General features: G+C 45.0%; 1 protein-coding gene across 2 annotated transcripts in view; it reads left to right on the top strand.

Moving 5' to 3' along the window:
- Window positions 1-12,032, top strand: part of MORN5 (MORN repeat containing 5) — a 40,176-nt gene that overhangs the window by 191 nt on the left and 27,953 nt on the right. Inside the window, exons 2-3 of one of the 2 annotated variants that reach the window (NM_198469.4) lie at window positions 6,670-6,817; window positions 9,547-9,658. In NM_198469.4, the coding sequence (NP_940871.2) occupies window positions 6,670-6,817; window positions 9,547-9,658 (260 nt within the window). The remainder of the gene's footprint in view (window positions 1-6,669; window positions 6,818-9,546; window positions 9,659-12,032) is intronic. The other variant, NM_001286828.2, reaches the window with a different exon arrangement.

Here is a 12,032-nt window from a genome sequence, read left to right on the forward strand (position 1 = left end):
ACCTTGTGCCAGGCACTTTCACAAACTTGCCCGAGTAATTTTTTCAAGGACCATATCTAATAAGCAGCAAAGCTAAGATGCATTCATTCCATATATACTTATATGTGTGTGTGCATTGACTGTGTGTGTGTGCTATCTGCCAGTTTTAAACATAGGAATAAGAATATTTAAAATGTCAAGATCCTTGCTCTTATGGAGTTTATAATCCAGTTGGAGATGTATTGCCAATAAACAAATAAGTGATAAAATAATTACAGATAATGGTAAATGCTATAAAAACAAACACGAAGATTAGGGAAGAGAGACTGGCTAATCTGAATCTACACGGTCGCTTCCTTCCAGGAGGAGTTCACGATCTAGGGATTATTATAGAGGATTATATACACAAATCACTGTAGTGGACTAGTAGTAAAAAACAATTCAACAGTTTTTTTTTCTTTTCTTTTCCTTCCTTCCTTCCTTCCTTTTTTCCTTCCTTCCTTCCTTCCTACCTTCCTCTCTTTCTTTCTTTCTCTCTCGTTTTTGTTTTATTTTCAGACAAGATCTCGCTCTGTTGCCCTGGCTGGAGTGCAGTGGCCTGTTCACTGCTTACTGCAGCCTCAACCCCCTAGGCTCAAACAATCTTCCCACCTCAGCCTCCCAAGTAGCTGAGACTACCGGTGTGCACCACTACCCCCAGCAAATTTTTCAACGCCTTTTGTAGAGACGGCATCTTGCTATGTTGTCCAAGCTGGTCTCATACTCCTGGGCTCAAGTGATCCTCTTGCATGAGCCACCGTGCCCAGCAATTCAACAATGTTGAGTGGCTACCGAGTACCAGGCCCTGTAATTGACTCTGGGCACAATCCCTGTCTTCAGAAAGTTCATTCAAACATGATGCGACAAGTAGACATAACAGATAACTGCGATTCAGTGTGGTAAGAGCTGTAGTAGAGAGAAGCAGAGGAAACACAGAGGTGGCCACTCTTTTTTGCCAACCACCCTGGATGAAGAAAGTGGAATCTCTGTTTTTATAGCTGAGGAAACCAAGGCTGGACGATATGAAGTGGTTTGCTGAACCAGTGCTAGTTGTCGGGACTGTGAAGCACTCCCACCTTGGGGCTCTGTATTCACAAGTTGGTGGAATTCCAGGGCATTCTGAGTTAATAGGAAAGAGGGATCTGTGGTCTGGACAGGGATAGGAGATAGATTCCTAGAGAGGGTGGTAGGAATGCTATGGGATGCTATCTCTCTAATCATTACATCAATTTTGCAAGGAAGATGTTATTATCTTTCCAGGTAAGAAAGGTGACCCTTACAGGGCTTGAGACACTTATCCTACTCAGCAGGTAAGTGGCAGAGGTGCTTGGTGTGTACTCCCTCTCACTACTCAGTGAGATAGTTCAGGCTGACCTTGCAAATAAAGGAACAGAAGTTAGGAGAAGCAAAATGACTGGCCCACCATTATGGATACACAGCTAGGAAGTAACAGAGTCAGGATTTGAACCCAATCCTCTGTCCAAACCACATTCTTACTTTTCACAAGGCTCTGCTACAGTGAAGGTGGTAGAATTTTGGCAGATAGAGATGGGGTATTGGGCATTTTAGGCACAAAAAGTTGAGAAACTACATTAATTTTCGATGGGCTGTATATGGGTGAGAGAGAAACACACAGACAAGGTAAAAGACGGAAGGCTTTCAACCATTTGCCTTTGGCCTTCTGTGTATTTTCATTGGGTTTGTGTGCTGAATCAGCCATTTCCATGCTTTGGCCCTAGGAATTTGGGCTTTGCTTGAGGTTGTCTGGTACCTCTGTAACCACGATAGGGATTCCCAGACCTGAACAGGGCTTCCCAATTTCCCATAACTAGCAAGAAGTCAGCAGTTTTTCACTTGTTATACTTCTTTTCATAAGTTGGACATGTGTTGTTCTGTACTGATTTTGTATTTTTAACAACAGTTAACTAGAATTCTATTTGGGGCATCTCAAATTTCAGCATGTAATGAGAGGATGAGACAGGTCTGGGCTCAAGTCTGCCATTTGCTTGTTGTACACTTAATTAACCATCCATACCTCAGTTTCCTCATCTGTAAAATGGGAAAGCAATGCACATTCAGCAGCAGTGTTCCAAGGAATATGTAATGATCATATATGGATGTTATTTACAAATGGTAGATACTCAATCAATTTTTTTTAATTTAGGGAGGGGATATTTTCCTCTTGGAGTTTAAATGAATAGAGTAACCTCTCTATACAGTAGGAAGTTGATATTTAACGTTTGGTTTAAAAAGTTTATGTAGACTCTCCATGGCTGATAGGAACATCAAATGGTACGACTGCTTTGGAAAAGTTTGGCAGTTTCTTGAAAAGTTAAACAGCCATTCCACTTATAGGTATTTACCCCAGAAATGAAAGTGTATATATACACAAAGACATGTATACAAGTACTCATAGCAGCCTTATTTATAATAACCAAAACTAGAAACAAACCCAAATGTCATCAACAGGGGAATGAAGAAACTAATTGTGGTATATCCATTCATTGGAATACTACTCAGCAATAAAAAGGAGTGAACTATTGGTACACAGAACAACATGAATGAATCTCAAAAAATTATGTTAAGTGAAAGAAGCCAGACAAAAAAAGAGTAGATACTGTATGATTCCATTTATGTAAAATTCTAGAAAATGCAAATCTATGGTGACAGAAAGTAGATCAGTAGTCACCTAGAGATGAGGATTGTGGGCAGGGGCAAGGAGGAAGTATTACAGAAAGGCATGCAGAAACTTTTGTGGGGAGTAGATATTTTGTCTTGATTGTGATGATGTTTTCCCAGGTGATGTCAAAACGTGTCAAATTGTACACTTTAAACACGTGGCCTATTGTATGTCAATTACACTTCAATGTATCTACTTAAAAAAAAAACCTTAAAAGAGACATGATTTCCCTGTACCACGTGTGAATATTAAAAAAAAAAAGGTTAATGTAGTATCTGTCTGACCTCAATATTATGGTTTCTTTGGAGTAGTCGCACAATTGAGTTCTAGATAACTCCACTCCAAAGCACCACAAGGTAAGTGCCAGAAGAGACCTACAGACACAGGGGAGGAAGGGACGCCCATAGCATTTATGTAGTAACTACTGTGCTCTGGGTGGCTTTGCCTGCATCTTCTCTTCACAGGGACTCTTTGAGATAGATATCATTATCCTATTTTACAGATGGGAAAAGTAAGGCTCGGAGTAAACCTGCCCAAAGTCACCCAGTTAGCATTTGGCAGAGCAGGTATTAAAACCCAGGTCGATCAGACTGTAAAGCCCACAGGCTTCCTACAATAGAGCCCTGCTGCTGTGGCCCTTCAGAGGCCACATACAGTCGGAGCCGTCCTTAAAGGCTTCGTGGAAGAGATAGTATTTGAAATGGGCCTTGAAGGTTGGGTAGGATTTAGGTGGTTGGAGATGCAAGGTGAAGAATTCTTTTTCTAGAAGTTTTTAGGCAGAGGGAACAGCATGAGCAATAGCCCAGAGGGCACGTATGGAGTAGAGCTGGCAGTTCAGTTTGGCAGGAGAGTGGGTTGTGCCCAGAGGAGTTATGCAAAGGGAAGCTGGACAGGCGGTCTGTGCTCTGGCAAAGAAATTTCAATACCGTGCACAATTCTGGTGGTGGAGGAACCACTGATAGATCCTGGTAGGGCCAAGCATCAGGAAATAAAACTTATTTCATCTCTGTAACTCTCCTCATAATGCATATGTGTGGTAGAGACTCAGTAAATGTTGGCTGAATGAATGAATGAATGAATCATAGGTTTTGAGGGGTTTGTTTGAGACAGGGTCTCACTCTGGAGTGCTCTGGCTGGAGTGCAGTGGTGCAGTCTTGGCTCACAGCAATGTCCACCCCACCGGACTCAAGCGATCCTCCCACCTCAGCCTCCCCAGTAGCTGGGACCACAGATATGCGCCACCATGCCCAGCTAATTGATAGGTATTTGAGATCTGGTAATCATATCCTTATTATGGATTGAAGCCTTCACTATAAAGTGGTTTTTTTCTTCTTTTTAACTTACTTTGAATTTAGAAGGCAGGCTTTTCACCTTGAATGAATTTTTTAAAATGGAAGAGAAGGAGGGAGAAAGGAAGGGAAAGAGAGAGAGAGAGTGAAGGAGAAAAAGAAGAAGGGAGGAGAAGGAGAGAAGGAGGGACAGAGAGGAGGGAAGCAGGAAAAGTGAAGATGGGGAGATCAGCTCAGAGCTCACTGCAGTTGTCCCAGTAAGAGGCAGCAGAACCCTGGGCCAAGGCAGAAGCAGTGAAGCTGCAGGAAAGAGAAAAATGTAGGAGAGGTTTGGGGATTTTACTGCCAGGAGTTGGCAGCTGATTGGCTCCAGTCCCGTCCAGAGATGGCTTACAGCCCCAGCCCTGGGCCCAGCTCCTGGCCTTGAACCAGAGGATTCTGATACCATTCATGGAAATAGAGAACTCTAAGGAGGTGCTGCTTAGGGGAGGAGGAGATGAGTTCTGTTTTAGGCGAGTTGGAGATGTCTGTGAGAGGTCTGAACAGTGATGTCCAGTTCAAGGTAAGAAAAGGGGTGGGGTCTAACCTCAGAGAAGGGTGTAGAACTTGAATATGGAGATGGTGCTTAGAAATGATAGATGTGAGCTCAAGCAAAGAGTACAGGAGGGAAGGAGAAGAGGAATTCTCCCTTCCCCCCATGTCTTGCACTAGAATAAAAGTGAAATAGTTTTCAATTTCTTGTTCTATGCCGGGCATTCTGCTATAGTTTCACAACCATCGTCTCACTCAGTTATCTCAACAACTTTGTCATCCACTCTGTTCACTGACTACTCTTTCTGTTTCCTTCATTCTTTACTCAGGAGACGTTTATGAAGCACCTGCTTAATGGTTCTAGGAGCTGAGGATACCAAAGTCTTCCTTTAAAGAAGCTTTTCTTAAATACAGGAGATAAGATACCTAATTACAAAACAAGATAGAAAGTGTTACACATCCCGACAGAGGTATTAGCAAAAGCCTAAAGAAGGTCAGAGTTAGGAGAGGAGCCTTCAGCTTGTTAGGAGGAATGGAGAAGGAATGAATGAAAGCATATTTATTAAGCACTCACTATATATATGTCAGGCCCTTTACTAGGAAAATCGTTATATGTTACCTGGATTAATTGCAGCCATTTCACCCATAAAGAAACTGGTCAGCCCAGTGCAGTGGCTCACACCTGTAATCCCAACATTTTGGGAGGCTGAGGCAGGAGGATCATTTGAGCCCAGAAGTTCTAGATCAGCCTGGGCAACATAGGGAAACCCCGTCTCTACAAAAAAAAAAAAAAAAAAAAAAAAATTAAATAAGCCAGGCGTGGTGGGGCACACCTGTGGTTCCAACTACTTGGGAGGCTGAGGTGGGAGGATCACTTGAGTTCAGGGGATTGAGGCTGCATTGAGCCATGATCACACAGCTGTACTGCAGCCTGGGAGACAGAACAAGATCTGGTCTTGGGAAAAAAACAAAAAACAAAACAAAGAAGCTAGTCAACTGGTCAAGCTGGTGTCCCTGCCTTGTTCTCCTGTATGAGCCTGTCTTCCTCCTGCATAGCACTTATCACACATTGTATAATTACTCAATTTTGTCCCCCACTAGACTGTGAGCCCCCCGAGGACAGGGACCGCATCTGCCTTGATCACTGTTGAATCTGTGTTGTATTCAGCAAGTTGGACCATCAGCATAGTCCCTGACAAAATGTAGGTGCTCTGTAAATACCTGTTTGGAAGGAAAGAAGGAAGGGAAGGAAGGGAGGGAGGCACAAGCAAAGAGGTTTGGGAAAGTATCTGTATTAGTCTGTTCTCATGCTGCTGTAAGGACATAACCAAAGACTGGGTAATCTATAAAGGAAAGAGGCTTAATGGACTCACAGTTCCACATGGCTGGGAAGGCCTCACGATCATGGTGGACGCAAAGGGGGAGCAAGGGCACATCTTACATGGCAGCAGGCAAGAGAGCATGTTCAGGGGAATTGCCCTTTATAAAACCATCAGATCTCATGAGACTTATTCACTATCATGAGAACAGCATGGGAAAAACCCACCCCCATGATTCAGTTACCTCCCACTGAGTCCCTCCCATGACATGTGGGGATTATGGGAGCTACAATTCCCGATGAGATTTGGGTGGGGACACAGCCAAACAATATTAGTATCCAAGATTATATATATATATAATGGTGGTAAGCTTCAAACCCTTACTCCTGTCTCTAAATTTCATATTTTCCCTAATATTCCACTTGTGGCATAATAGGCAAGGATGGGTTGGTCATGGGGGACAGAGAAATCACAGAACTAGCTGCCAGAAAACCTGGGCTCTAGTGTCCACAGTTTTTACTGTGTGTGGTTTTGGGCACATCTCTACGCTCTCTGGGCCTACTAGGGGGGTTTATTTCAGGGAGCAGTGTGAACTCCAAGGTGAGAGTGAGCCTCTAGGTGAAGGGGAGAATGAACAGAGCAAACTCTATTCCCCTCTTTTCGTTTTTGAGCTTTTGAGGGAAACAAAACAAAAATTTTGTTTTCAGCAGAGTACTGCTGGGATGAGAAGGATGAGAATGCTGAGAACGGGGTTCCTGCTCACTCTGTTGCCTGCCAGCTCTGATCCTCCAGCTGTCACACAGGGCTCAGTGATTTCCCTGTGTCTTTACAGGATGGAGGGCAAAGCCAAGTACATCCTCCCTACCGAAACAATATATGTTGGGGAAATGAAGGATGGCATGTTTCACGGCGAGGGAACCCTGTACTTCCCCAGCGGAAGCCAATACGACGCCATTTGGGAAAACGGATTGGCCATAAAGGTGATCAGCTGGGGGGACGGATGCTGTGGAGGAGAGATCCTCACGCAAGAAGAGCCTCACCCTCTGGCACCCCATCCTCCCTGTCTGGTGCCCACCTTGTTCCATTCACTCTTCTCTTTGCTTCTCCCCCACTCCCCCCACTTTTTTTTTTTTTTTTTAGTCTCACTCTGTCACCAGGCTGGAGTGCAGTGGCACAATCTCGGCTCACTGCAACCTCCGCCTCCTGGGTTCAAGCGAGTCTCCTGCCTCAGCCTCCCGAGTAGCTGGGACTACGGGCGTGCACCACCATGCCCAGCTAATTTTTGTATTTTTAGTAGAGATTGGGTTTCACCATGTTTGCCAGGATGGTCTCAGTCTCTTGACCTTGTGATCCACCCGCCTTGGCCTCCCAAAGTGCTGGGATTACAGGTGCGCAGGTGTGAGCCACCGCACCTGACCTTTTTTTTTTTTTTTTTTTTTGAAAACGAGTCTCTGTCGCCCAGGCTGGAGTGCAGTGGTGTGATCTCAGCTCACCACAACCTCTGCCTCCTGGGTTCAAGCTATTCTCTTGCCTAGGCCTCCTGAGTAGCTGGGATTACAGGTATGTGCCACCATGCCCGGCTAATTTCTCCCTGCTTCTGGATCTCCCAGGGCTCTAGAATCCTCTCCCTCTAGATCTGGAAGGATCTGTGGAGAGGCCATGATGAGTTTGCATCTGTTACACCACTTACTGCCTGATCTTAGGCCCACGACTTCACCTCCCTGAGAGTTCTTCACCTATCAACTCGGGACAGTTAGTTGCATTAGTTATGTGTTGGTACTATAACAGGTTACCACAAATTTAGTCTGAAATCAGCACAAATGTATTATCTTACAGTTCTAGAGCTCAAAAGTCTGAAATAAGTCAGCAAGCCTGCATTCCATCCAGAGGCTCTACGGGAAAACCTGTTTCCTTGCCTTTTCCAGCTTCTAGAGGCTGCCTGCATTCCTTGGCTCATGGCCACGCATCACTCCGACCTCTGCTTTCATCATCACGTCACCCTTCGTCCCTCTGCTTTCATCGTCATCTCTTCTTCTCTCACCCTGACCTTACTATTTCCCTCTCATAGGAACCTTGCAATCATATTTGGCACACCCAGATAATCCAAATAATCTTCCCACTTCAGGATCCTTCATTTAATTGCATCTGCAAAATCCCTCTTGCCATGTAAAGTAGCATATTCACAGGTTGCAGCAGACAGGGACATCTTTGGGGGACCATTATTCAGCCTACCACAATAGTACAAGGCACCTCAATATATATATGTGAACACTTTGCTAAGTTCCCAGCACACAAGAGGCACTCAATAAATGTTAGCTCTTATTACCACCATCACTGCTACTATCATTATAACTTACCTAATCCAAGGATTCTTACCCCCTGGTATTTGTGAGTCATGAATAGAATTCAGGGAGTCACTGAAACCTCTTGATTTATATACAGAAGTTTCTGTGTAAAGGGGACTAAGTTTTTCTCCAGGAAAAGCATCTATAGCTTTCATCAGTTTCACTAAGAGCATCTTGGGGCCTGACTCATGACCTAAAAAAGGTTAAGAAAGGCTCCTTGTTTTATAGCTTGGAGAGTCTAAGCCCCAGGAAGGGGATGTGACTTTCCCGAGGTCACACAGTGAATTAATAGTATCATTGGAATTTCCACCCGTGTTTCCTGATGCCCAGGCCAATGCAATTTCTACATCCTGAGGCTTCCTTTAGCAGTAAGGCAGCAAAGGCAGAATGTATGTGTTTGGACAAAGGGCCGTGGCTGATGGCTCTGACCTTTCCAGCTATAATAATAATAAAAGAATAATAACATTTATTGAGTGCTTACTTTGTGTCAGTGTGTCAGTCAGGGTTCTTCAGAGACACAAAACCAATAGGATATATAGAGATGTATGGAAAGAGATTTATATTAGGGATTGGCTCACAAGATTATGGAGGCTAAGAAGCCTCCCAATCTTCCCTCTGCAACCTGGAGGCCCAGGAAAGCTGTTAGTGTAGTTCCAGTCCAAACCCAAGGGCCTCAACCAGGGGGATCAATGGTGTAAGTCCCAGTCAGAGTTCAAAGGCCTGAGAACCAGGAATGCTGATGTCCAAGGGCAAGGAAGATGGATGTCCCAGCACAAGCAGAGACAGGGAATTGGCGCTTCCTCTGCCTTTTTGTTCTATCCAGACCCTCAACGGATTGTATGGTGCCCACCCACTTTGGTGAGGGTGGAACTTCTTTGCTCAGCCCACCGATTAAAATGTGAATCCCTTCTAGAAACGCCCTCATGAACACACCCAGAAATGTTTTACCAGCTATCTGGGCATCCCTTTCACTTAACCCAGTCAAGGTGTCTCACAAAATCAACCATCACAGCCAGGCACTGTGCTAAATGCTTCACGTGTGCTATCTCATTGAATTTTCAATCAACCCTATTTTATGTACACTATCATTAACTTAATTTTACAAATGAGGAAATGAAGGGCCAGAGAGAGTGGGTCGTCTGCCCAAGTTCATCTGCCAAAGTGAGTTCACCCACTTTGAGCGGCAGGGACAGGGCTCGGCACTTATACCCATTCCCTCTTGTCGTCACAACCATAATAATTGTGATAGTTACCACTTCTTTACTGCAGCCATCAGAAAGGCCCCCACTTCCCTTGACATCTGAACCTCTTGGCCAAAAGCCTTCAGCTTCCTCAGATGCACGTGTGTGCTCCTTGTCTTCCAGGGCACATATACGTTCTCAGATGGGCTGCACTATGATGAGAAAAACTGGCATTACTGCGACGGCTATGATCGGAGGTTTTACACAGAGATCCTCAATGGCTTGAAGCCTGCAGGTACCCAGGCACCCACCCTTTCCTTCATACCCAAACTGAGAGGGAAACTAAGACAGTTTCGGATAAGTGGACTGTGTCCTACTAAAGTAACTTAAAGGGGAAGAGGAACTGAGCAGGCGTAGAAGAATGCAAAAGAGCCAGGTCCTGGAGCCAGGAAGGCCAGTCCTCATATCTCAGCTCCACTGTGCTAGCCAGAGGACCATGGGCAAGGGACTTTACCCACTGCGCCTCAGTTTCTCCCCTTCAAAATGGAGTCAATCAGCTGGGCGTGGTGACTATGCCTGTAATCCCAGCACTTTGGGAGGCCAAGGCGGGTGGATCACTTGAGGTCAGGACTTCCAGACCATCCTGGCCAACATGGTGAAACCCCGTCTCTTCTAAAAATACAAAAATTAGCCGGGTGTGGTGGCATGCCTGTAATCCCAGCTACTCAGGAGGCTGAGGCATGAGAATCGTTTGAACTCAGGAGGTGGAGTTTGCAGTGAGCTGACATCACACCACTGCACTCCAGCCTGGGCGACAGAGCGACACTCTGGTCTCAGAAAAAAAAAAAAAAAAATCAAAATGGGGTCAATAGCATCATCTACCTCCCAAGATTGTTGTAAATAAGATAATTCATGTCAGGTGTTTAGAACAGTGCCTTGAATGCATGTGGGTGCACGGTACATGTCAGCTGTTCTTATTCGTGGTACCTACTATAACACTAAAATTATGTAAATATTTTAAAAAGAAAGAGTTAAGGACGAAAGCAGTACTGACAGAGCATGTGCTTTGTGTATCAGGTGCTGGGGGAGGCTCTCTGTAATCCCTGTCTCCCTAATGTCCAGATGACCCTGCCCAGTCAGCCTTCCTAGTCCCATGTCACTCCAGGTTGAGGCTGTGGAGTTCAGACATGGTTCCCTGTGGCAGAGCTCACACTGGTAGCCCAGTCTTCCTCTCTGAGGTCCTCTTTATCATGCTACCTCCCTGCAAAAACCGTGTCTCATCATGGAGGGCTACATTTGGACTATAAGTCTGGATTCAGAGAGTGGCACCTTAAAATTTTGAGACGTGTTCCAGGTCAGGTGAGCCTCAAGACGAGGGGAGGAGAGGGATAGTATTAGGAGAAATACCTAATGTAGATGACAGGTTGATGGGTGCAGCAAACCACCATGGCACGTGTATACCTATGTAACAAACCTGCACATTCTGCACATGTACCCCAGAACTTAAAGTATAATAAAAAATAAATAAGTAATAAAAAAATAAAAAAAGAAAAGTGTAGTTTTTGGCACAGCAGAGATAATATATCCAAAATGACAGATGGGGAAACAACTCTGTATACTATAAAAACAATCCCAACTTAGCTTATGAGAGACCATGAGCTGTGGTTGACAGAGCATAGAGCCAGAAATTGTGGGTTTGAGTCCTAGCATTCTCTCTCTATAGCAGGATGAGCCTGCACAAGTCAACCTCCGTCAGGGCAGAAGCCTCCAGGAAGCACTCAGGCACTGGAGTCAGGCAGACCTGAGCTCAAACCCCCATCTCCTTCCCTTCCCAGCTTCATGACCTTGGGTCAGTTAGTTGACCGGGTGAGCCGCCTTCTCTCCCTTTGCCCTCCTGACACTTACTCTGCTATTTTCCTCCTATCCCCAGGCTTCTTTGCCACTGCCTCCTCAACATCCCCCCACCCCCAGTTATTCACGTTGAGGTTCCCGGGGCTCTCTGGCTTAGGCATTTTCTGTTTTCATTCTATATGCTCTTCCTGAACAAGTTGATACACTTCTAAGCCTTCAACTACCATCAGCTTCTAAATTGAAATCAGAATCCCTGAGCCTAAGATCCCTGCATCAAGCTTCCCTGACACCTGTATTGGTCGTTCTCAACTTGTTTGCACTGAATTCATTGTCACCCCCACCGTGATGGCTGCCTCACTGAATGTCATGCCCATCCACCTAGGTAAGCCTAATCCTCCCTTCCCCTGCCCCCTAAGTGCAATGGTCCTATGGATTTTACCTCTGAAATATAGACTTTATTTGTTTATTCAACAAATATTTATTGAGCACTTCCATGTGCCAGGCAGCATTCTCTTCATACTCTTTGCCACTGCCCTGTTCCAGCCCTCCATCATCTTTCCCCTTGATGACCTGACTCCGGAGATCCCCACTTGGCGCCCTTGAGGTCATTCTCCATTCTGCAGTCACTTCCATCTTTTTTTTTTTTTTTTTTTTTTTTTTGAGACAGAGTCTTGCTCTGTTGCCCAGGCTGGAGTGCAGTGGTATGATCATAGCTCACTGTAACTTTGAACTCCTGGGCTCAAGCGATCCTCCTGCCAAGTGATCTGGCCTCCTAAGTAGCTGGAACTACAGGAATGCGCCACCACTCCTGGTTAATT

This window comes from Homo sapiens, chromosome 9 (assembly GCF_000001405.40).
Source record: "Homo sapiens chromosome 9, GRCh38.p14 Primary Assembly".
NCBI lineage: Eukaryota > Metazoa > Chordata > Mammalia > Primates > Hominidae > Homo > Homo sapiens.